This window comes from Homo sapiens, chromosome 3, assembly GCF_000001405.40.
Source record: "Homo sapiens chromosome 3, GRCh38.p14 Primary Assembly".
NCBI classification, from domain to species: Eukaryota; Metazoa; Chordata; class Mammalia; order Primates; family Hominidae; genus Homo; species Homo sapiens.
In genome coordinates this window covers 14,539,637-14,564,967 of record NC_000003.12, presented here as the reverse complement: position 1 = coordinate 14,564,967, position 25,331 = coordinate 14,539,637, and the positions used below count along the sequence as shown (strand labels likewise).

The 25,331-nt window shown below is 54.1% G+C and overlaps 1 protein-coding gene across 9 annotated transcripts in view, besides 3 other annotated features; it reads left to right on the top strand.

The window, feature by feature from the left end:
- The window catches only part of GRIP2 (glutamate receptor interacting protein 2), a 113,911-nt gene that overhangs the window by 38,050 nt on the left and 50,530 nt on the right, over positions 1-25,331 (top strand). For 6 of the 9 annotated variants that reach the window (XR_007095752.1, XM_011534143.4, XM_011534141.4 and 3 more), the window contains exon 1: positions 8,909-9,074. The exons of 2 other annotated variants lie outside the window; for them this stretch is intronic. Coding sequence is in view for 6 of the 7 variants with exons in the window: in XM_011534143.4 (XP_011532445.1) it covers positions 9,014-9,074 (61 nt within the window). In the remaining variant the exon portion in view is untranslated. Of the gene's footprint in view, positions 1-8,908; positions 9,075-24,625; positions 24,700-25,331 lie in introns of those variants that run through there. One more of the 9 variants, NM_001080423.4, reaches the window with a different exon arrangement.
- Positions 580-1,147: an enhancer, noted in NCBI's record as "H3K4me1 hESC enhancer chr3:14605328-14605895 (GRCh37/hg19 assembly coordinates)". NCBI's record gives its function as "activates a minimal SCP1, AML or CMV promoter by ChIP-STARR-seq in naive H9 embryonic stem cells {active_cell/tissue: H9 hESC(naive)}" and the evidence as "EXISTENCE:reporter gene assay evidence [ECO:0000049][PMID:30033119]".
- Positions 16,549-17,049: an enhancer, noted in NCBI's record as "H3K4me1 hESC enhancer chr3:14589426-14589926 (GRCh37/hg19 assembly coordinates)". NCBI's record gives its function as "activates a minimal SCP1, AML or CMV promoter by ChIP-STARR-seq in naive H9 embryonic stem cells {active_cell/tissue: H9 hESC(naive)}" and the evidence as "EXISTENCE:reporter gene assay evidence [ECO:0000049][PMID:30033119]".
- Positions 21,391-21,891: an enhancer, noted in NCBI's record as "H3K27ac hESC enhancer chr3:14584584-14585084 (GRCh37/hg19 assembly coordinates)". NCBI's record gives its function as "activates a minimal SCP1, AML or CMV promoter by ChIP-STARR-seq in primed H9 embryonic stem cells {active_cell/tissue: H9 hESC(primed)}" and the evidence as "EXISTENCE:reporter gene assay evidence [ECO:0000049][PMID:30033119]".

Genomic DNA, 25,331 nt, shown 5'->3' with positions numbered 1-25,331 from the left:
CACCACCCACATGCTCGCACGGAGCTGAGCAAGAGGCGCGTCTGTGTTTAGAATAGCAGGGTGGGTCCCAGGGTAGGCCTGGCCAGCACCTGATTCAGATTCCCACTCGGCTTCAGGCTGCATGACCTTGGCCTCCTGCCTGATCTCCCTATTCATGAGCATAATCAGGCCCCCTGTGGTGGGGTGTTGAAGAAGGTTAATGTGCATCCAGGGCTGGGAACAGTGTCTGCCTTTGTCACAGAGTGATCATTAACGTGATTCATCTTTCTCCCCTTTCCCCATTTTTCAGATGAGGAAACTGAAGCTCAGCAAGAGAAATGCCTGGTACATAATTTTAAGTCAGGTCCCACGCACGGAGCCCTTGCAGGCCCCAGACTTGTGTCATTTTCATGAAATGTCACACCACCGGGTGCCTGTGTGATACTATACTTACTGACTTTAGGGATGGCTAAGCAGCATGGGATTTGAATCCAGCACTGTTTGACTCTGAACCCCCTCGGCAGGCCGTCCCCTCCCTGAGACATGGCAGGTGTGGGGAGGGAGCCTGGGGTCAGAGTGGAGGAGGTGGCCGGCACTGCCGTGGCCTGGCTTGAGGAGGAGCCCCGGTGGAGCTGCTGCCCCGTGGCACACGAGGACCGTAGTGGCATTTCCGACACCTCCACCCACGCGGCCCACGATTTAATCTGCGTACTTGTGAATGGTGCCTGCCCAGGCTTTTGCTCCTAATTATTGCTCTTTAAAGGCAGTGCCAGGAATATTAACAGACATGCCACCTGTTTCTTGGCAGGTGGCTCTGTGGGTGCACCTGTCAGCCAGCCGCCCTAGCCCATACTGAAAACGCTTGGTGGCATTTTCTTTCTTGGCTCGGGATTGTCTGGGAGCCATCAGATGGATGAGCTGCTTCCCCTGGCAGGGTTTTAGCCTCCCTTGGGGCTGCTTCCTCTGCTTCCTGAGCCTCAGAGCAGGTCTGGTGAGGGTGGAGGGCAGAAGATGGGTAAGGGTGGAGGGGTTTATTGGAAATCCTTCCTCTGCCACTCGGTCGCCATGTGAAGCAGAAACAGCCGCTTTCTTTCTCCGAATGGCAGTGTTCCCGTCTTCATTTTAGGGCAGCAAGGTGACAGTGACTCTCCACTCCAGTGTTCAGTAGAATCACTGGGGAAGCTTAAAAAGTGGCCACTGCCTGGATGCCACCCCCCAAGTTTCTGATTCAGCACTAGTTCTTTTAAGCTCCCCTGTAATTCTAGCTGCCAGGTGACATCACCTTATGATAAGGTGAGGCTTGATGACTGTGGAGCCCCGAGTTCTGTGCCCTTCCCCTACACCCCTCCTCCCTGCCTTCTCCCTCTAGCAGCCAGAGGGATGGTGTTAAAGCCCCAGGCAAAGCTCCCACATCCTCAGAGGAAAAGCCAGATCCTCAGGAGACCCTGCATTGCTTGACCTTCCTCGGACCCTCCAGGCCCACGCTGCTCCTCCTCCCTCAGGAGCACACTCTTCCCCCAGCCCCCGCCCACCAAGGCACCCTCCCTCTTTTAACCCTTTCTCTAAATGTCACCTTTTTAGTGAGGCCTTTTATGACTCCCTCTTTTAATTTTTATTTTAAATTTTAAATTTTCATTTACTTCCAAATGGCACATATAACACAGAAATACCCTTGAGGCATTTTAAGGGCAAACCACAGAACTTTTTTTTTTGTTTCATCTGTATCTCCACAGATAAAGACTTTTTCTCAACTCTAATTACAACAGCAGCAGCAACCCAGCAGAATTAACCATAATTTCTTCATATCATCTTGTACCCAGTCTGCGTGCAATTTTCCCTGGTTGTCTCCAAAATGTCTTTTCATGATCGGTTTATTCAAATCAGGATTCAAGTAAGGTCCCTTGCCACATTTGGTTGATCAGTCTCTTGTGTCTCTTTTAATCTGTAACAGTCCCTTTTCCCTCCTTTTTTTTTTCCCCCACTCTCATTATTTGTTGGAGAACCCAGGCCATTCTTCCTGTGGAATGTTCTCGTGGTATCATTTAATTCATTCTTCTGCCCCATTGTACTTTCTCCCCACTGATATTTGGGGCTAAAGCTGGATTTGATTCAGGTCCAATTTTGCAGGAAAGAATCCATCTCAGGGAATGCTGTGGGCTTCCTTCCACATCCCATCTGGCGCACGTAATGCCACGTAGTTCCACTCTGGGCGATGCTGAGACCTGTCCGGGAGTCCGAGGACCGTCTGCCTCGGGAGTCCGAGGACCGTCTGCCTCATCCCTCTGTCACAGAGTCAGTGCTGGATCCTTTATTTCACTAGGATTGCAAAAAGGTGGTTTTCCAATTCCGTCATTTCTTCAGCACTTATCTGCTGTGGTTCTTCTCTGAAGGATGCCTTTCCCTTATTAGGGCCTCCTAAAACACTGCGTATACAGGAAACACAGGAAACGTGCTTCATTCTTTACCTTCATGTATCTGTTCATAGAAAAATGATGTGGTATCTTAACCACCCCCAAAGGAACCAGCCAGATTTTATTTTTTTCTTTTCAGAATCAATAGGAACACATGGATCACTGCAGTTTTGTAGTCATGATTCTTTTCTGATGTTCAAGTTGTCCCAGATTTGGCCGGTGGGAGACCCCTCCAGCTGGCTTCTGTGTCCTCACAACTTCCCCCACTCAGACCCTGAACACTTCCTTACTTTCTGAGACTACAAGAAAGGCTCATATTGCATTTTCCCTGCCTCAGCCCTGCAATCATCCATTGCTTTCAGGAGTCCTGGGGGTCCTTTTGCTGGGCAAAGGAATTTAGAGTCCAGAGTCTGGGTTCTGGGGGGACCAGCCCCTTTGTAACTGGCAACATCAACTTCTGTACTCCGGTACTCCTCACTTGCTCTGTTTATTTTTCGCAGCTTTCACCTCGCAACATGTTGCATCCTTTACTTATCTGTTACATCTGTCATTTACCCTGTCTTCCTCACTAGAATATTAGCACCTCGAAGCCTTGGTGGCTGTACCTCCACGCTTGGCACACAGACAGTGCTGAATAAAGATCTGCTGGATGAGCAAATGGATGGAGAGATGGATGGATGACCTGCATCTGCCTGCATCCTCTCCCTCCCCCAGCCTGGATAAACGGTCAAGAGGGTCTGCACCCAGCCTCCTCTCTTCCACCCACAGAGCCAGCCTTGGCGGCCTTGGTCTTATTTAGATCAGTAGAGCTGGGCAGCAGAAATGTCACCACTTGGCCCGTGGGGAAGAAAAGGCTGAGAAGATTAAAGGCATCTCTGATGAGATGCTAATTTGTTTCGGGAAGCAGGCGGGGATGGCAGCAACCTGGGGCCTCTGGAGCTTTGTGAAGCTGAGGCAGGAATGGAAAAAGCAGCATTGGTGGAGGCTGGCCTGGATCCCTCTGTGATCTTTTCCCTTCTTTAACCTATCTCCTGGGCTCTGTGCAGCCTCAGTTTTGAGGAGAGCCAGATAGTCCTGTGTTTGAATCCTGGCTTGGCCACCTTAGTGGCTGTGTGACCTTTGACAACAGGGGGAACCTCTCTGGGCCTTGGGACCGAGAAAGTGAGAATGCTATAGGGAGGATGAACTTAGGGAAGACCATGGAGTACAGCCCATGGAGGCCAGAGAATAGCAGAGACTTGCTCGAGGCCACACAGTAGTGCACACTGGCTGGGGCCTGAATTCAGACCTCCTGGCTCCCAGCCGGGCTGATCTGCCCTTGCTGTTTTCTTGATGACTCAGCCTGAAGCATCCATGGGTTCATCTCCTTTAAGGGAGCCTCTGTTCCCTCACAATTCCCTGGGGCTGCTGTCTGCAGAAGGATCCTGCAAAAATCTGGGGAGCACAGGGGAGCCTGGCAGGTGTGGCTCAGGTAATGAGCAAGCTTCAGATGGCTGGAACCTAGGACCCCAAGCCTCCCTCTGCTGTCTTCCTGATCTTCCAGTCGAACTGCTCAGCTGGGGCCCCTGCACCCAAAGTAATTCATATCCAGCTGTGGCCTCCTTTGACTAAAGTTGAGGGCCCAGGGGTCCTCTGCTGAAGGTAGAGTTTGGGGAGCATATTATTCCATGTTCCATCTCTCATTCACTGAGCCCTTGCTGCGCCCCTGCTGTGTGCTGGAATCTGGAACTCTGAGATGAGGAAGACACTGGATTAGTCAGGATACTTTTGGGCCCAAGTTACCAAAAACCAAACCCAAACTGGCTTAAACAAAGAAGGGAATGTATTGGCTTAAGTTCAAAAGGGATACCCAACTTCAGGCATGGTGGGTTCCAGGTGCTGAGATGCCATCATCATCAGGATTGGATTTGTCTTTCTCTTCTCTTTTGGTGCCACAGTGGCCGCCAGCAGCCTGACTGACACAGCTTCTCCACACCTCCAGAAGATTCCCTTTCCTAGTGGCTTCATCCAAAGCCCCAGAATAGCATCTCACTGGGTTGACTTGGGTCATGTGCCCATCCTTGAGCTGCTTGCCGTGGCTGGGGATTGGGATAGGCTACTTGGTCTGCTTTGGGTCAAGGCTCTCCTGGAGCTGAAAGACAAAGCTCCTCCCCTGGATGCAGGGAAGGAGCAGCTCCCCAAGGGAAATGGGGGTGACATTGCTGGGAGAAAAGGGGATAGAAGTCTAGAGAAGCTGGACTGCACATGGGCAGAGAAGCATATTGACTGTATACTGTATACATACACGTGCTTTTTGTTTTTGTTTTGTTGTTGCTGGGTTTTTTTAGACAGGATCTCCCTCTGTCACTCAGGCTGGAATGCAGTGCTACGATCAGAGATCACTGCAGCCTCAAACTCCTGGGCTCAAGTGATCCTCCTGCCTCAGCCTCGTGAGTAGCTGGGACTATAGGCATGCACCACCATGCCAGGCTAATTAAAAAAAAAAATTATAGAGACAGAGTCTCACTATGTTGCCCAGGCGGGTCTTGAACTCCTGGCCTGAAGTGATTGTCCCACCTTGGCCTCCCAAAGGGCTGGAATTACGGGTCTGAGCCACCAAGCCCATCCTCAGATGCCTAGCATAAATCATCAAATCATAACTGGCCTCAAGTTCTCCCCAGCCTCTGCTGACACAGGGATGGGGCTGGAGTTATGTGGACTCATTATTTCTTTTCCTGCAGCACTATGAGGTGCAGATTCTTGACCCCAGTGTTCAGACGGGGAAACTGAGGCTCAGGGAGAAGCAGCGTCTGTCTCTGCCAGGAGTTTTTAGAGGACAGGGACCATGTCTTCCTCAGTTCCGTTTCTTGTGTTGCACCTACTGTAGCCAGGCAGCTCCTCAGTGGGACCTGGATCTTCTGGGATCTATGGAGCCACCTCCCAAATTAGCTCTGAACAGGCTGAGCCCTAGTGACTTCTGGTGGATCCTGCACCCCCAAGACAGAGGTGACACATCTGAGCTTGGGACGAGGCAGAGAAATACACCGACCACTGCCTCCCACAGTTGTCTTCTCTTGGGCCCAACATAATGCTGGGATGCTACCATTAGAAACTACTGGATCATAGCATCTCTCTTGGCTCCTTTTTTTTTTTTTTTTTGATAAATTCTTTCTCAGCATACACCTTGGCTCACCTGCACTCCTAATTTACCAGACCCACCAGGGTCTACCTGAATTCCACTTAAACCAAGGAATTGGCCCTTGGTCCACTTGACTCCCCAAGGTCTACTTGAATTCCAATTTCACTTGGAACTCTGCAAGACCAATCTTAAGATAATGCTCTGTGTTTTTAATGAATGTGTGTGAGGAGCTTCATGTTCATTTGATCCCGTTTCACTCTCACAGCATACAGGAAGGCACATCCTATTATCATCTCCACTTTATAGGTGAGGAAACTGAGGCTCAGTCAGGTAAGTAACACGGTCTTGTTGCACAGCTAGAAGGTGGTGGAGCTGGGATTTGAACCCGGGCAGGCTGGCTCCACAGCCCACACCATTAAACACTCCTGAGATTGCACCTAACAAGTATTTTGCCCCCTCCAAGTCAGTGCCAGGCGTAATGGACAGATCCACCCTGCCCTCGGAGCTCCCCTTCTTCATTTGACCCAGGACAGCCGTAGGTGGCAGGTAGGGCGAGGTTATCCCTCTTGCAGCTGAAGAGCTAAGGGGCCCCAGGGAAGGGAAGTGCCACATAGTCAGGGAGTTTTCAGGCTGGGCTCCGTAGTCAGTTTTGCACATAACTGTAGGCTCCTGCAGTGGGCCCTGAGGCCTGTGGGGTCTCTGGGGTGGGTGTGTAGGGGACAGAGACCCAGAGCTGGGCCTGGAGCTGGCAGATCCACCTCCCTATGCAGGTCTGGATGTGGTCCTCAGAGTGTCCTCACCTGTAAGGCCTGGGACACTTACAGGGCACCCTCCAGGGTTAACTGGTGACAGGAAACCCCACCAGGTCGGAACTCTGCCTCTCCCGCACCCTGGGAGCCTCGGCCTCCTTATTTATTTATTACTTATTTATTGCTGTGCTCTCCACACGTCAATTTCAGCTGGCACTGCAGACCACCTGGGCCATTTCTCTTCCTACCAAAGGCACTGATGGAGCTAGGAAGCGGCCTCATCCACAGCCAGAGCTCCCAACCGTGCTCTGCCACTTAACAGTCTGCAAAACCCCAGGCAACGCAGCCTGCCCTCCCTGGGCTAAGCCAGCCAGGCGGGGCTCGGCCCACAGCCTGGCCCACAATAGGGGTTTTATAAGGGGTGCTCCCTGGGCCTAGATGTGGCAGCGGCCTAGTCTGGTGGCTAGGACCTGAGACCTGTTTTGCCGCATGCATGCTGTGTGACTCTGGTAGAATACCGCACCTCTCTGAGCTTCAGTTTCCTTGCTTGTAAAATAGGGATGTTCCTAGGACCACCCTCATGCGCTCTGAGGATTTGATGTGATAGTTCATGGAACGCATCAGATTCCTGACTTTCCTGCCTTCACCTCACTGGGCCTCCCATCCCCATTCACACACAAGGGGTTGGGCTCCATGCGGAATAACCACAACACTAATAACGGTTACATATTATTTATCTAGCACCTACTGTGTGCCACCCTCCGCTAAGTGCTCTATGCTTGTGATCTCGTGTAACCCTGCCATACTAGAGGCAGGAACTGTTAGCCCCATCTGTCAGATGAGGAAACTAAGGCACACTGAGTTGGGATTTGACCTCAGATCTGCCCATCCCTAAAGGCATGTGTTCTCTGCTCCCTTCCCTTCCTCTCTGTTTGCACAGCTAAGCCACAGCTTTGCTGCTCCTCTAGAGGCTCACGCCTCTCAACTGCAGAGGAGAGGCTTACAGTGGGGATGGGACAGGGGCTATGGCAGTGGGGCAGCCCTCACGCTGTCCTCAGGTCTCGAGAAGGAGCTGGGTGATGCCGTTCAAGTGCCCACTTCCTGCTTCCTCGGCTAGCCCTGAGAGGCCTCTGCCACCCACACCTTTAGGATGAAGACAGAATCCCTCAGCAGAGTCTGTGTAAAGGAGCCCAGAACCTCCAGCCTAGCTGAGTTGCCCCAACAGAGCCTCCCTGAGCCTCACCTTCTGCCAGTAGTGCCTCCTGATGCTTTGGGCTGGAATCCATGTACTGTGGGGCCTCTGAGCCTGGAGCCTGCTCTGTCTTTGTTTAAAATTATTTGTCTGCAAGTTTCAGGGAGGTAGTGTGGAAGAGCCGAAAGGAGACTCCTGCATGGAATCAGAAGGGCTGGGAGATTACTGAGAAGGGAATCACTTCCTCGCTGTGTAATTCATTTTTATTACTGGTCAGATCTGTGTATCCAGAACTGCCCTGTGTTCCATCCGTCCTAGGAATCCTGCGTGCTGGTGAATGCTAGGCCAAAGGATTCCAGAGATAGGATTGCTGCGAAGTGATGGGGATTGGCAGGAGTTCTGCATGTGGGGGAACCCTCCGACTTTCTCAAGGGAGGCTCTCACTGCTGGTTCACAGGCAAAGCCTGATTTCTGTGGCAGCCATGATTCCCGAGCGGGTGTCTTGCCCTTCCTATGAGTGTGGTCTGTAGCCTGATTCATCAGAGGGGCTTTCATGGTTTGGGAAAAGGATGGAGGAAGCATGAACACCTGCCTTGGTAGAGAGAGGGCAGGAACCTGGGGTTCTAGAGCCACCTCTGCAACATATGTGCTCTGTGACCATAAGCAAGTCACTGCCCATCTGCCTCAGTCTCCCCTAGGGCAACACTGCCCTGCCAAACTCAGGGGTCAGGATGTGGGATGAGAGAGGAGGCTAGCCATGTGTACGACAAGAAGGGATGCTGGATGCGTTTTCTGAGCACTCACACATAGTCCCCAAAACTCCACCCAACCAGCAGTTTGAGCAGCTTCTCTGGGTATCCCCATGCTACGTGTTATAGTTGTAGGGGTTAGGAGTTAAGAGGCGGGGCCTAGGTCTCCTCGTTCTACTCTGGTGGCCCTATCACATGCCCAGTGTGATGTTGCCTGCTGGGGACACAGGACAAGTGGACTCTTGTCCTTGTCTCAGAGCTCCTTAGTCTTGGGGGCAGGTAGATAATCTCAACCTAGTATGAAATGTGTTGAGGTCCAGCAGGCGGGGTGCCCTGAAGGGAGCAAACATTCCCAGGCAGAGAGGATGCATGGAGTCCCACTAGAGGGGAAGGACATTCTAGGGGGAGGGCCTTGCAGGTGCAAAGGCCTGGAAGTATCAAACAGCCAGCCCAGGGAAGAGGGGAGGAGGGGATTGGTAGATTTCAGCAAAAGGTGGGGTGGGCCAGGTGAGCACTTTGGTGGGAAGAGGACTTGAGGGTGGGGCCCGCTGGAGGTTTGCTGCAGAGGCTAGAACATCCGGCACTGCACTCCCCAGGCCCGGCTGCTTTGGAGGAAGGGCCTTGCCGCCACCAATGCCACCGCTGGCTCCGGGGAGGATTATCTATTTTAGCAACTCCGGGAGGGCGGAGGAAGGGAGCGCCCAGCCTGTGCCAGTTAGCGCAAGCAGCTCTGGAGCGGGCACAGGAGCGCCGGCTCCAGGCGTGGGAGGCTGGGGCAGGCTGCACAGGGCTCTGCCGGAGGGCAGGAGGGCACAATGCTGGCGGTGTCACTCAAGTGGCGGCTGGGCGTGGTGAGGCGGCGTCTCAAAGGTGCCGGTGAGTCTGGGTGGAGGGCGAGGGGCCCAGAGGGACTTCCCAGGCTCCCTGCCTGTCCTCAGTCACCCCTGCTCTCCCTCCCCGTCTCTCTCGCGGAGCCTTTTGGGTTTCTCTGCTGCATCTCTCTCTCCCTCCGTGTCTCTGTCCCAGATCACTCCAGTTCCCTTCCCAGTCTCTCCACCGCTCTGCTTCCTTCTCTGTCTCCTCCATCTCTCTGTCTCTGTCTCTCCGCTCTCTCTGGGTCCCTTCCTCTCTCTTCCACTGTCTCTCTGTCTCTCTCTCCTCTCTCTCCTGCTGTCTCTCTGTCTGGCCTCTGGGTCTCTCTGTGTCTGTCTCTCCTGCTGTCTGCCCTCCCTCACCCGGTTCTCTGCCCCCGCCTCTGCTCTGCCTTCTCTCTCCCACTCTGTCTGTCTCTGTCTTGCTCTTCTCTGTTCCTCTTGCACTGTCACTGTCTCTCCCTGGGTCTCTCTGGACTTTCCTGTGTGTCTCCTTCATCGCCCCCGCCCCCACCCCTTCCCAGGGCCATGTCCCCAGCAGCCTTTTCTCTCCTTCCTGTTGAGGCCGTGGGGCTGTCCAGATGGGCTGGGGTTGCCTGGCAGGGGCGCTGTGTGTGGGGGAGGAGGGGTGGGAGGGAGCGAGGGGCTGTACGTGGGGAGTTGGGACAGGGGGACATAGGTGAAGGCTGCCTGGCTCTGGGCAAGACTCTCTGTGCTGAGCCCCAGCCTGTGCCGGGTGCCATCCCTGGACACATGCTCAGCCCCTCAGAGTGCTAGGAAGGGGCTTAGGGTGGGACCAAGATTGGAGTGGGGGTGGGGAGGAGCTGGAGTTAAACCCCCCAGGCTGTGTGACCCCAGGCTTCACCTTTGCTGCCATGTCTCCATCTACAGCACGGGGAGGAGGGAGGTGGTGGATTCACGATCTCTATGCTTCAGGCTGAGGAGCAAGAATCATCTTGCTGTCAACAGGAACAGCAGTGACAGACATGCACTCAGCACCACTCTGTGCCAAGCAGTACATTCACTCATTCATTCCTCACAGTGGCCCTGCAAGGCTGGTCCCATCCTCATTCTGATTGTGCAGAGGAGGAAAGTGAGGCACAGAGCGGTTAAGTAACTTGCCTAAGGCCAAACAGCTGACTCACTGAGGCTGTCTCCAGCCAGTGAGCTTGTAACTGAGCATTTTCCAGACTCTGAGGTGCCTACACAGGGAGTCTTCCTTAGGGAGGTGGCGGGGATGGGGGTGGGTGTCCGTGGGGCAGCAGAGGGCTCTAGGTCCTTCACTGGCCTCAGGGCAGCTGGTGGCCTGACATCCTAGAGGTCCCTGGAAGCCTGGTCCACAGAGACAGAGCAGCTGGTGCCTGGAGAACATCAGGAACAGGCCTCTCTTTGGGTCTGACCAGAGACTCCTCTGCTGAGACCACCCCCGCAGGAGACACTCCCTCCCCCATTGAGGCTGCTGTCCTCTGTTCAGGTCCACAGACCGTAAGGGCCCAGTGGGATCCTCCCAGGCTGGAGGGACAGATGAAATCCTGGGTTGGCTCCAGATTTGAGCGTCCCCAGGATTTGGAGAGCAGCCTACTAAATGCTGTGGATCAGGCTCTGCATCTTGGAGATGCAGGAAATGCTTGTATTGGCCCGGACAGACCAGGGTTCAAATCTTGTTCTGGCTCTTACTCCCTGTGTGGCCTTGGATGGCTACTCAACCTCAGTTTCCTCCCCTGTTGAAGTGAGCCCAAGAAAAACTGCCCTTCTGAGATTGCAGTGCCGATTGAGGAAGTTTGGGACACACAGTAGACTCCTGGAATTTTTAATTCCATCTTCCCCTTAGTGACCCAACCACTTCCTTCCTCTCCCCATGCACACACCACTGTCCCCAGGGCAGTCACATCTGGGGCCAGCATAGCTCTTAATAGAAAATAAGCAAAGGAAAAAGGAGGGCTCAACCTGGTTGATTGAGGACACACTGCGGAGACTTGAGCCAGGCTCCTGCCCGACCCCTCTCCACTCCTTCACGGAGGGCACTGAGGGAGGCACAAGGAACTTGCTTTGCCCATTAAGTGAGCCTGCACATTCACGAAAATGAAACCTCAAGGAGAAGAATCCAAGAGATGTGGGAGAAGGCAAGGTGTTTCTTCTGTCTTCTTCTTCAAAATCTTTTTTTCAAAAGATGCCTGGGTAACATTTCTCCATTTCCAGCCTATATTATTTTAATGGGCTGTCCTGTTGCTCATCTTTTCTGGGTAAGGCCCCCAGGTTTCTCAGTCTGTGAATACTTGGGCGGAGGTCCCTGAGCCACATGGCCATGTGAGACCCCTCCCATGTCCTCCAAACTGAGACTCGAGGGTGTAGTTATTGCCTCTAGAAGGAAGCAATGACTTTGCTTGAGAGAGGTCAAAAGAGACTCCCAGAGCTGCGTATTTAAGGATGAGTAGGAGTTTGCCAGGTAGATAAGGAGGGGAGCAGCTCATGAAAATGCCTGGAGGTGGCCAGGCACGGTGGCTTATGCCTGTAATCCCAGCACTTTGGGAGACCGAGGTGGGCGGATCACTTGAGGTCAGGAGTTCGAGACCAGCCTGGCCAACATATAGTGAAACCCCATCTGTACTAAAAAATACAAAAATTAGCTGAACGTGGTAGCACGTGCCTGTAATCCCAGCTACTTGGGAAGCTGAGGCAGGAGAATAGCTTGGACCAGGGAGGCACAGGTTGTAGTGAATCAAGATCATGCCACTGCACACCAGCCTGGGTGATAGAGCGAGACTCCGTCTCTGAAAAAAAAAAAAAAAAAGGAAAGAAAATGCCTGGAGGCTTGAAAGATCTGCCTCAAGACCCCATGAGAGTCTTGGTCAGCAAGAAGGGTGTGGGGAGAGGAGGGAGGCAGGGTGGAGGAGGTGAAAGGCTGTAGAGCTTGGACCCTGTCTTGGGGGCAGTGGGAGCCATGGATGGTCCTTGAGCAGGAGAGAGTGGAGGACTGCTTCGAGTATTAGAATAGGATCTGGACCAGGTATGGTAGCTAGCTCACGCCTATAATCCCAGAACTTTGGGAGTCTGAGGTGGGCAGATCACTTGAGGCCAGGAGTTCAAGACCAGCCTGCCTAACATGGTGAAACCCCATCACTACTGAAAATACAAAAATTAGCCATGTGTGGTGGCGCACGCCTGTAATTCCAGCTACCTGGGAGGCTGAGGCAAGAGAATCGCTTGAACCTGGGAGGCGGTGGTTGCAGTGAGCCAAGACTGTGCCAAAAAAAAAAAAAAAAGAGAGAGAGAGAGAGAAAGAAAAGAATAAGCTCTGGCTGTGGTCTACAGACCATAGGTAGGGTTGGAGGAAGGAGTCTTGGGTGGGACCCAGGCAGGAGGTGAGGAGCCAGGACTATAGGGTGGGCAGAATCGACAGACGTCAAGGCAGGAGAATAGCCTGTGTCATTTACTCATTCAACAAATATTTATTGAGCATCTATTACGTCATAGGTATTGTTCTAGGCCCTTGGGGTACAACAGGGCACAAGACAGACACAAACCCCTGTCCTTGCCCTCCTGAGCTTTGTCTGCCTGTGCCCACTCCGTGGTGCATGTCTGTGATGAATTATTCACTCCCTCCTTCCGCTCCTTAATGGCACTCCCCTTGGCCTCCCACACGCCACCACATCCAGCTCCTGGCATTTCTCCTGGCAGCCACATCAGGGCCTCAAATCTGACTCCCAGAGTGGAAATGAGCCCTCTCTCTCCAGTGCGCCACTCCTGAGCCTCTGCCCTCCTCCATGCCTGGGGGCACCAGAATTTCAGATCAGCTATGGTGGCTCGGAGACCAGATAATTTTTTTCTTTTTTTTTGAATCAAGAAGACAAGGATAAACTCTCGTCCTAGAATTGCAGAATCCCGGCAGCCTGGAGTGAACCTCTAGATCTGTTCTTTGTTTCCCAAGCATTTATTGAGCACTTGCTGTGTGCCAGGCACTTCCCATGTACTTTCTCACCCTTGCAACAGGCCTGTGGGTTATGAACTAAATTGCCCCATTTGCAGTTGAGGAAACTGAGGCTTAAAGACAAAGTTACTTTCCAAGGTCACACACCTAGGAAAGAAGTAGTAGAGCATGAGCCTACCCAGGCCGCCTGACTTCCAAGTCCAAACATTTCACCCCGGGGGCGTTCCTTCACGGTCAGCTTATTCAGCCTCCCCTGCTGGGTCCAAGGGACCCCTCGGTTGTATTCCCAACATGTGGCCACTGCTCTGCTATCCCCAGGCTCCCCCAAGTCCTCTGCCTTCTCTGTGCTTCTCCTGTCCCGGGACAGCCCTGCAGAAACAGCGATGCCTCTCCACAAGTCTCCCTGCTCCAGGCTGAGTGAGCCCCGCTCCCCACAGGACAGTCTCCTCCCGCTCTCCGCCTGGCTGTCACCTCCATCCATACCCCATCCTCTGTATGTCCCTGTTGCAGAGCAGAGCCCAGAGTGGAGCCCAGGGCCTGGGGAGGTCTGAGCCAGGCAGAGCAGACAGACGTGCCAGGCTCCTCCCTGAATGCCCCAACCGCACATTGGCCTTGCTTGTGCGTGTCTCCCTCTGGAATGCATGCTGATCTCTTCAGCTCAGGTCCGGGCATTGTCTCTGTCTGTCGGCTTGAATGTTCAGTCCAGCAGGACCATCTGCCTGTCTTAATTGTCCAGATCGTTGTGAAGGCTCCCAGCCCTGTCTCCCCACCCACTGGGGAGATAGTCAGATGGAGCGGAAAGCACCTCCATCAGCCAAGGGACTCAGGCTGACCGCAACTCTTCATGGGTCCTTGGCAGGTCCGTGTTCCTCCTGGCCTCAGCGTCCCTTCTGGGCCCCCAGCCCTGCTCTCCCGGGCCTGGAAGCCTTGCTGCCTCCCCCCTCCCGCTCACTCACTCCCCTTGGGCCAACCTTGGCTCTCTGGTTCCCACATTTTGCTATCTTGGCCGAGGTGATGGTGACTCATAAGCAGATGTGGTGGGCAGGTGGGCAGGCGAAGCGGGGCACATGGCCAGCAGCCACTAGCAGCCCATAATTAGGGGTGCTGGGGTCCCTGTAGGATGACCTTGGGCAAGATCCTTGCTCCTCGCTGTGTCTCAGTGCCCATGCGCAGAGTGGGTTTGTTGAGGAAGGTTTGTTTGGGGTTTGTAAGCAGCCGAGGGTCATTTGGAATTCAAGCTGGGGATGGAGGTGAAGGGGTTCCAGGGTGGCTGAGGCCAGAGCTGAAGCAGCCCCTAAAGACCGCAAGCCCTACTCCTCCCGCAGCCCCACATATACTCCCATTTTATGCATGAGGAGATTGAGGCCGGTTTTGCCCAAGGTCATCCAGCCAGTCAGAGGTGGAGGTAGATCTAGGAGTTGAACTCAGGGCCCCTCTGAGGCACCAGCGGTGCCGCTGCGGGGAGGGTGGCATACTAGAATGTTCCTCACACTTCATTACCATGCTGGTGTCTTCTTCTAGGGGTAGATGGGCAAGGAAGAGAGTGGGATGGCCAGCAGTGAGTTGACACAGTGGGACTGAGAGGTGCCGAGGGCTTGGAGCCCTAGATGAGGCCCCAGCCAGCCGGAGGGCTTCCTGGGGGCAGCAGTCTTGAAGGGCTTGTAGGACTTGGCCTGGCAGACAGGGATTAGGAAGAGGGCATTCCTGGAGGATGGTGATAAAAAGGCTCAGAGGTGGGAATTGGCTCTGCTACTTGGTGCTGGGAATGGGAGGCGGGGAGGCTGGAGAGGGCTGGTCAGTTTGGGGCGCAGGGGGCTCAGCTGCCAGGCAGCAGGCACTGGCCTGGAAATCCCAGGGTCAAGCCCTGTCCTCAAACATGTGGTCGTTGCCAGGGCCCACCCCCAAACCCTGCAGGGCTCCCACCCCCATACCTCTGCTGATCTTTCTGGCATATTCTCAGCTGGGTGGCCTGGGGTCCTTGGATGGTCCTTCCCATGTTCTCACCCTGCCTGAGGGTCCACCGTGGGTCCACAGCTCCAGGGTTCTCTTTCAATATTCAAGTCTACCATGAGGACACAGAATCTGGTGATCACCACGTCCACCAAGCCCTTTTGAGAATGTGTGTGAATTGAACTGTGATTTAAGGCTTTGGAGCCAGAGAACTGAGCTGTCTCTGGGCTCCAGTTTCCTCGTCTGTAAAATGAAACGATTGATGATCCCAGCCTCATGGGACTGAAGTAAATGCCCCTAGAGGTGAGAAGTAGTATGAAATCTGTAGAGTGCCAGCTGGGGGCCAGCCGGGATTGTCATTATTAGAGGCTTATGTTCCCATTTTCTCTGAGCCTCAGTTTCCCCACTTGGGCGTAGAGGATGTCTGTCCAGCATGGTCAGATGTTGTGGCATCTGGGAAGATGGTTTGTTCTTCCTGGTTGGGGAACCCTCCAGGAAGTGGCCCCAGAATAACGGGGTGAATGGCCACCACCGTGTTCAGCCACACACTGGGTCTCCACTGAAGCCGCATCCAGACTGAGCTGTGGCCTCTCCTGCCAGGGCTCAGAGGCCATGGTGTGGGACTAGGGGGAGCCATAGGGAGGCAGGCTGCAGCTGGGATAACAGACTGACTGTCACCCCTTACAACTGTTCAGGAATAGGGTGGGCTGCTCAGAGGTGGTGAGCTCCCATTTATGGAGGTGTACAAGCTGTACTAGACAGCAGAGAGGATTCCTGCATTGAACTACAGTGTTAGAAGGGATGAATTGTTGATTTCTTTCCAATATGGCAATTCAGAGATTATGTACATTCATCATATATTTCTCATTCATTCATTCTGCAAACACTTGTGTAGCACTTACTGTGTGCACAACGCTGCCCTGGGCATGGGGTTGAAATCAGTGAGCAAGACAGTTGTGGATCTCCCATTTAGTGGAAAAGAACAGGTGGAGGAAGGGCTGAGAGGAAAGGCATTGGAGGAAAGGCTGAGGGAGGTAAAGGAGACACACCCCACATGGCCAGGGTGGGCCTCTGGGTGGAGGGTATTAGACTGGACTGTAAGGATGAAAGTGAGGAAGAACATTCCAGGCAAAGGGAAGAGTCTGTGCAAAGGGCTCAAGGAGGGAGCACCTGGTTCTCATGGTCTGGCCCTCTGCCCATCCTAGTTGGGCTGTCTTACCAAAGCCCCTTCCCCTCTCTCGACCTCAGTTTCGCACTGTAGCATGGGAACTGCAATGTCTATCCCATAGGATTCTTGAAAGATTCCATGAGACAGTGTACATAAAGTGCTGTGTACCCAGTAGGTGCTCAGCAAATGCTGGCCCTTTCCTTCTCTCTAAGGCGTTTGCGTTTGGACGGAGGGTCATGCTTGATCCATGGGTGGGTGGTGGGACTCTGGGCACAGTGTTAGCCACAGGCTGACGCTGGCACCAAAGCCGGTCACAGGCACGGGATGACAGCTGTGCCCACCCCTCCCAAAGCCTGATCCACTACCCTCATGCCTTGATTACCAGCCACAAGGGGGAGTCGCTGCATCAACTCCAGTGTGCGGAGGTCCGTGCACTGCTTCTGACGGCTTGGCCTGTGTACAGCTGCACAAGCTCTCTGTGTCTTCACCGGAGGGGCCTCCGGAGAGCCTGATCCTTCCTAAATGTCATCCACATGGCCGGTCACAGTGCCGGGAATGCCCCGATTCGGTGACCTCTCTTCTCCGCAGAACTGTGTCTGCGGAACCCGGCCCTGCGTGCCTAGCCAGCCCACCTGCTCTTTAGGGCCCCTTTTGGTGGTGCCTTTCCTTCCCACTTCCCACCCTCTGCCCAGGCTGTGCCCTCTCCCTGGAAATCCCTGCCTACCTCACCTTTGAGTGTTGAGTTTCTTTGTCCCTCAAGGCGTGGCTCAGACACTGCCTCCACCCGGCAGCTTTCCTGGACTCCTCCTCTGACCATCCCTGACTCTGTGGCCACCTTTGTTCTGGGTGGTTTTGTGGCAGATCCTCTTTGGATGTAGTCCCTTTTATAAGAGATACTGACATTTCAACATGTGTAATGTTCTTGGCCCCCAGTAGGCCCTGTGTGAGCAGTGACTGGACTTTGAACTTGGGTTTCTTGACAACATTCTCTAGGACAGGGCAGGGAGGGGCCACTGCATCCTGAGATTGGATGCTTAATGCTGCTTTTTCCTGGAGCTGAGCCCCAATAGCTTTGTCCATTTATTTCCATGTTTTGCTTTTTGTTAGGAAGGCAGAGAGAGGGCTGGTGGACAGTCAGAGCAGCCCCTGAGGGGAGGAGGATGGGGAGGGTGGACAGACAGCAAGGCCTGACCCCTCACCCAGGAGCGCTCTGAGCACCCATTCAAGTCAGTTTTCTAAGACACTTAGCTGACCCTATCCCTCTCTCCCTCCAAACTCTTCCAGCAGCATCCTCAGGAGAGAGTTCCAACTTCTAACATGCCATTTGAGGCACCTATTTATTTTTAATTTTTGAACTCCAAGTTCCAAAGCTTGAGCTAAATTTCTCAGTTCAAAGCACACATGGTTCTGGGCCATCCCAGCGCCAGATCTGGCTCTGTATAATCTTATTTCTTCTCCTTCATGCCCTATCCCCACCCCAAATTCCTTCCCTCTAAACTTGCACTTGAAATAGGTGAAACAGGTCTTTCCGTCTGTGTGTGCCCTTGCAGCATAGATAGTGCTTTATGTGTCTGCTTTCGATACATAATGACACCACATTTCAATACATAAATGATACCACGGGGTAGATCTCATTCTGTCTCTCTTCTTTCCTTCCTTTCCATCTTTCCTCCCTCCCTTTCTCCCCTCCTTTCTTTCTTTAATGTGACACTAGGTTTTCTAAGATCTGTTCATGTGGCTGCACTTCTAACTGCTGTGTCACACAACACGGTGTGCAGTCACCACGTTACCTGTCCCCTACCCTAGGATGGAGTCCCAGGTCACCTTTACCAACATTCTCAAGAGTTCATGCCCCTTAGGGACCTGGGTAGGGGGTGGAATTACTCTGCAATAACTTCCAGGAGTGAGGGTACTGGGACACAGGTGGCCAGACATGGAATTTCTCCTAACACCACCAGGTGCTGCCACTGTGGCTGCCTCAGTTTACCCCCCACCAGCTGTGCTGTGACTTTCCATCTCCATCTCCCCACATCTTCACCGGCTCTTGGTTTTGTCTGCATTTCCAGCATTTGCCATTTTGAGGAGAGTCAAGTGGGAGCTCGCTGTTTCTGTTTTCACTTCTCTGGTGACAGTTAGTTGGGACACCTCTGCATGAACTTGGGGTCATTTGCCCTCCACGCCCTGTGCCTCGCCTGTTTATAGCTGGTGCCCATTTTTCTTTTTCTTCCTGTTTTGCATCAAGATACATCCTGACTCCATGCTTTCTGACCTCTCCCACTGGCAATTCCTCAAACGTGCCCTATTGGCTGTCATTAGAGGAGCTTTGATGCTCAACTGAAGGGGAAAATGAGGCTCAGAGCAGAAGGGACCTGGATTCCAGATCTCCCGCCTCTCAAGTGCCTGGCCCATTTCCTCCCTCAGACCCCTCACCCCCGTGCCATCCTGACCCTTGCAGCCCACTCCCGGTAGTTGCCATTGCAAAATAGAAGTTAGGTCACAGCACGACCCTGCTAAAAACCCTCCCCTCACACTCAACAGAATCCCAACTCCTCTCCCTGGCCTCGGCCGACCTTGTCTCTGTGCGTTAGCTGCACCTGCCCCTCAGCTGCTCCTGGTACCCAAGCTTGGTCGGCCTACCTGGAACCTCCTCCTCCCTTTGTGCCTTCTCATCCAGCTCCAGGCAGTTACTGCAGAGCAGTCCCCTCCCTCTACCCCACCCACAGGTCCCTACGGGGTGTGAAGATGCTGGTGAAGGAGACCTGGGGCTCAGCTTAAAGGTCGCCTACTCTGAGAGCCTCTCCCTGACCACCTGCCTTGTATTCTCTGTGCCAACATCGTGACTGTGTCTGTCACAGCCCTCGGGACCATCTCAAATGCCTTCTGTCTGTCCGTCTGTCTGTCTTTCTTGCTGGATCTCTGGTCCTCCCTAGACCAGAAGCTCTAAGAAAGGAGGGTCTGCCTGCTCTGTTCACTGCTGAAACGTCTGGCCCAGCTGACCTCTGGAAGGTAGTAGGTGCTTAGTAAATATTCTCTGAGTGAACAAGTAACCAGAGAGACAGGGCAGGGCCATGATCAGGCTGGCCATCTCCCTGTGCCCACATGCTATAGTTTTTTAGGTGTTTCGCTCATTCACTGAGCTTCTCAACAAAGACCTTGTTAGTACAGACAACTTCATCATCCACATTTTAGAGGAGGAACCTGAGGCTCAGAGAGGCCCACTGTACAGCTGTGCTCCCATGTCCTGTCCTCCAGGAGGGAAGCTATTGTGGGTGTCAAGGGAAGCATGGAGCCCAAGAGGGAGCCCCTGGGAGCTGCCCCATCCGTGGCCAGGCCCCTGGCCTGCTGGTGACTTGACCCTGCCCAGTCAGGGGTTCCCAGCCCCTCTCAACATGTGTTTGTCGCTGGCTGGCTGCGTTGGCCCTCCTGACTCTGTGTTCACATGCCTGGGCTGTGGAGAGTGGTTCGGTGTGTGCATTTCTCGGGGCCACTGGGTGGGGATGCTGTCAGGCAGGCCTGGGTTCAAACCCTGGCTCCCCCTGACATTCTGCCTAAGGGCAAGTGGCTTTACCTTTCTGGGCCCTGGCTTCCTCATCTCTGAAGTGGAGATGTTCCTGGGATGAAATGAGAAAATGTGTGCAAAATGCTGGTCACAAGGCCTGGTGCGTGGAGTCTCTGCTCCGATTATGTTAACGGTGGCTCTTCCCAACATTCTGGACACCCCCTCTCCTGGGCCTGTCCACACGGCTGCCATGCTTTGCTCTTGCGGCTGTCGGAGCCTCCTTGGCCTGTGGCCTTGCGTGTTTTCCTGTAGGCTGGCAGGCTCTGTGGGTCTGAGGCTCACAGCTTGGGGCAGCCCACTGGGTGGCACTACTCCTGAAGCTCCTCCCAGCCTTCCCTGAAGTCAAGTGAGGGGCCATGAGGGCTGGGGAAGATGTGGAATACCTTGGACAGAGTGAGGACAAGACCAAACAGCGCCCCCTAAGAGGGGGTCCCCTAGTGCCCCTCCCCTGTGGCTGGTGGAATCCCAGACTGAGCCTCAGTTTCCCCATCTATAAAATGGGTACGATAATGCCTACCTGGCTGAAATGTTTAACAACAAGATGCAGGTTCTGAGAGGACCAGGCAGGGAGGGAGCAATTGTCCTGGCCCGGCCCCTGGGGTGGAGGGAGGAGGGTCGGAGGAAGAAGCAACGGACAGCCCAGAGCAATAAAGGTTTATCTCTCTTGTCCTTGAATTGCCATTGCTGCCTCCCTCTCACCCAGACTTCATTTCCGGCTGTCACTCAGGGCCCCTGGTGGGCTCAGGACAAGGCTCGCCTGTGTTATGACGGACTCAGCCCTGGAGTCAGAGATGAAGGACGGAGGCCTGGGTCCAGGCCCTCGCTGTGCTGGTGGGGCACCCCCGACAAGGCCCTCTGTGGGTCTCAGTTTTCCCATCTGCGCAGCATGGGCTTGGTTCTCAACTACAGTGGCCACTAGCCTCTGGGTGGGAGGGGCTAGGGGTGCTAGGAACCCTGCAGTGTGAGAGCAGCCCCGCACAAGCAGAATGCCCCAACTCTAGTGCCAGTGGTGCCCCACTGAGAGACAATGTGAGGGACCTGCAGGCCTGGCCCTGCGTTGGGAAGAGCATGTGGTGACCGTGAGTTTGCAAAACGCTTCCAAGGTCTCTGATCCTCACTCCTCACAAGGGGCAAAGTGAATCTCAGACAGATGTGACTTGCCTAGGGTCACACAGCTTGTGGGTGGTGGAGCTGGGATTCGAACCTGGGCATGTCTGACCTGTGTGCTTAGCTCCCTTGAAATTCTGTTTCTGGCCTATTTGACGGCGTTAGTTTGAGACTTTTGGCGGGCAAGTGGGTGGATGAATGCTTTCTGTTTCATTAATACGTGGTCTTCCCAACCCTAGAGGGTAGGTGTTTTTATTATTCTCATTCTACAGCCGAGGAAGCTGAGGTCCAGAGAGATTTGGACAAGTGCCCCGATCACACAGGAATCCGTCTTCCAGTTGTCTCACAAACCTGGGGACATGGAAGTGTCAGGGCCCCTCCTGACCAAAGAGGGGCTGCCTGCCAGCTCAGTGGCCCTGCCATCTCCCCTGGGCTGCTCAGCCCCCTCGCATGTCACCCACAGCATTTGAAACATGGGGCAGTCAGATGCTGTCCTCAGGAGCCCCTGGTGGCCTGGGTGCTTGGCAGGCCTGGCTTCCAGCCACCTTGCATGCCCAGGCAATCTGTTCCCCTTTTCTTCTGCTTCCCTGAAGTTGGCAGCATTGGACAAGAAGGATCGTCTTTGGAGGGTGATCAAGCAGCAGCTTTGCCTCTTCTCATGTCCTAGAAGGAGCCCTTGCTGCTCATTCCTAGGCCGCCTCCCAGACGGAAATCCTTCTCTCACCTACTGTCAGCCTGCACTCTGTGTTTGAGGTGCTTGCAAAGCTGTCTCACCCCGCTGCACTACAGCTATCCTTAGCTCTCCATTTCCTGCAGGATGAAAGACAAACTCTTTAATACAGCGCTCCTCAAACTTCATATGCATCACCTGAGGACCCTCTTAACATGCAGCTTTTGATTTGGCGGGCCTGGGCGGGGCCCGAGCATCTGCGTGTCTGACAAGCTCCGGGTGATGCAGATGCTGCTGGTCCTCAGACTGCACTTGGAGGAGCGAGACCCTAGTAGACCACCCCAGGCCTGGCTGTATCTCTGTTTCCTTCTTTGTCTCCTCACTTAGTCATGTGGGATTTCGGCCATGGACTCACACGCGTGCAATGGCTTTTTCCTTCGTGGACAAACTCCTTCCCATCCTTCAAAGTCAGTCTAAAAAACCCTTCTCAGTGGACTCCCAGACAGAGCTAATTCCTCTTCCTCTGCACACCCAGAAGCTTTACAAATCCCTGAAATCCTGAGGCCCATAGCAGTGCCATTAAGAATAGCGGTGCTGGTGCCAGGCCTCCTGAGTGTGAAACTTGGCTCCATCCTTACCAGCTGTGTGACCTTGGGCAAGTTGCTTAACCTCTCTGTGCCAAGTTATTTATTTAAATTCTGTCTTGTTCCAAAATGGGCCAATAATTGCTTCTGAACATGCACTTGGATAAAATCAAATGAAAATGTGCTCAGTAGGGTGTCGAGGACAGAGGGCAAAGGGGAGATGCTGTTTCCCATCTGCCTACATTGCATAGCATGGCAAGCACTCAGAGAAACGCCACAGAAGCTCTCCCATAATCCACGGCATGACCTTTCCAGGAGCTTGGGGGTCCACAAAAGTAAACTCCAAAGGAGCAGTGAGAGAGACAGAAATGTGGCAAGGCTTCCAATTGCCAATCTTAATCACTCATTTAAATGCATCTGTATGGAGAGCAAATTTTTTTTAAGAGAAGGAGCAGAGAAATGAGGCAAGGCTTCCAATTGCCAATCTTCATCACTCATTTAAATGCACCTGTATGGAGAGCAAATTTTGTTTTGAGAAGGAGCAGATACAGGAGTTTGAGACCAGCCTGGGCAACATGGTGAAAACCTCATCACTACAAAAAATGTAAAACTTAGCCAGGCATGGTGGCACCTGCCTGTAGTCCCAGATACCAGGGAGGCTGAGGTGGGAGGATCATCTGAGCCCAGCCAGTGTGTTGCAGTGAGTGGAGACTGCGCCACTGCACTCCAGCCCAGGTGACAGAGTGAGACGCTGTGTCACAAAAAAAAATAAAAAAAATAAAAAATAAAAAGAGAGAAAGAGAAAGAGGGAGAAAGAAGGGGCAGATCTAACTCCAACTGCCTGGGTGCCATGCGCCTGTCCTCCCTGACTGAAGAGGCTGTAGATGGAGGGAATGGAGGCGAGTGGGGTGAGGATCTGTTAGAGCAGTTCACATGCATTCCTTCCCGCGTGGTTGAAGCTAAGACTGCTCCAGAGTGGCCTCTGTGCCCTGGTGAAGGCCAGGGTCTTCATGGCGAGCCTCTCCCTGACCACTGCCAGGGTACCGGTGGCCAAATTGAGTGCGTGTACCCCCGTCCCTGCATGATTTGAGTCGTCCAGGAAATGTCCACTAAATTCAGGTCTTCCCTCTGCAATCTGACCCTCACCACCCACCCTGTGGCTGAGACCTTGGCATCACTGCTGGTCAAGGGAAACTTGCCTGGCACCTGGACCCTTCCCCCAGAAACAGATCTCAAGTTGCCCAAAGAGGAAGGCACCATAGGAAGTGGGCGGCAGGGCAGGGTCTTGAGTTTGCAGATACAAAAGCACAAGTAGCCCTGCCCCAGATTTAGAACCTGGATTATTCTAAAGGTGCCACTAGCGTTGGGCTGGCAGGAGCCAGTGTGGGGCGGCCCAGGAATTGTGGCTAAATTCCATGCTGGGGTCACTGTTCTGGAGGGAACCCACAAGAAACCTCGGGTCCCTAACTACCGGGCAGCCCTCTCCCACTAGCTGCAGGGCACATGGAAGAAATATGAGGCTCGTGTGTTCCCACGCGGTCAGGAACTCCATGGGAGCCAGGCCTTGTCTGTCTGGTTCTCTGTTGCCAGACGCACTGTGCAGTTGTACAGGTTGTTGACATCCACCATTCAGTGCCCTGTCACCATCACCCCACCCTTCTTGGTGTCTGACCCTCAGTTGGTGCCAGCACACACTGGTGGGATGGAGGGCAGGGGAAATTGGGTGCAGCCTGCCACCCCTTCTCACAGACAGGTAGAGGAGGAGCCTCAGGTGTCCATTAAGATCAGCCTGGTCAGTCCTGAGCCAATGTGGAGGAATCCCAGGAGTGTGCAAGGCTAAGGCCCAGCTGGGTCTGGGACGGGGCAGAGCCTGCCAGGTGTGGCTGGAGCCTGTGACCAACTGGCCCTGCCTATCAAGCCCAGAGGCGGGCAGATCCTCCACCCAGCTCACTTGGTCTTCACAAAAAGCTGGGTGGCCACTCCACGTGGCAGGCTGCCGGGTTCATCTTTCCTAAGTCCCATTTTACCGAGGGAAAACTGATACCTAGGAGAGGTAGTTGGAACATTGGTGGGAGGGCCCTGGAGGGTCTCCAAGCTCAAGGGTTTCTAAGCTGAGACCTACAGAGACGCCCTGGCATTGTTCATGCAGTCAAAGAGTCTGTGCTTCATCTAGCTTATGTCCTGGGGTTCTGTGCAAATTCTCTTGGAATCTGCCGTTTAGAAAAAAAAAAAGTTTGGAAAGCACTGTTCCCTGTCTCCAGATGAAAAAACTGATGCCTAGTGAGGGAAGAGTCGTTTGCCAAAGTCCCAGGGCAAGTTAGAAGCAGGCTCTCTCTCTGCCTGAGAGCCCTGGGGGAAGCCCCAGGCATGCCACCTTCAAAGACCCCCTGTCCAGACCCAGGCTGCAGGGGTGGGGCATGTTGGACCCTGTCCTGGAGCCAGCCTTGACAATAGCCATGTCCCCTTTAAGCAGAGAGCCGCCCGCTGCAGTGGGTGGACTCGGTGCCCAGCCAGTGGGAGCTGTGAGCTTCCCTCCCACAGCCCCTCCCTGGGGAGGGGAGGGAGGGCCAAGCAGCGTGGCTCCCGAGGGAGTTGGTGGGCAGCAGGGGAGACAATAGCGAACATGCTGTGTGGGCTCAGCCGGGAGACCCCTGGAGAGGCGGGTACGTAATGGGGGGTCTGTGGGCAGAGTGATGGGGCTGAACACATAGATCCCTCTGGAGCTGCTGCCCAGAGAGAGGGGACTGGATGGCTGAGACCTGGGACTGCCACTCCCTGGAGACCCAGGGCTTGGGGAGGGTGGGGCAGGACACTTGCTGGGGCTGTCTGTCTGACCCTGGCCACTGTCCTGTAGCAGGATGGCTGAGCCTCCCCCAGGGCTGTCCAGCACAGGCAGGCAGAACAGGCGGGTCTGGAGGTTCCGAGGGCAGTGCTCAGCCTTGTAGGGGGAAGGCTGGTCCTATCTGGGTGTGAGCGAAGCCTTTTGCCCAATCTCAGGATCTGCACAGCTGCCTGGTGGGAGTGAGTGTCCGACCCAGAGGGGTGAGAGCCCAAGGCCCATGGGCAAGGTGGTGGTGAGGAGTTCCTGTGCTGGCACAGCTGGGCAGGAGACTGGTTCTCGGCAGGAGGAGAAACTCTGGTTTGGGGGTCTGACTGGTGAGCCCCTGGGGCTCTGGGAATGTGTGGGATGGGGGATCACAGCTGCCACATTCCTGGGTGTGCTGAGGCTGGGACCCAGGGGAGGGGCAGACACGATTGTTCCATCTGTCTCTCCAGCCTCAGCCTGGGCTCACCC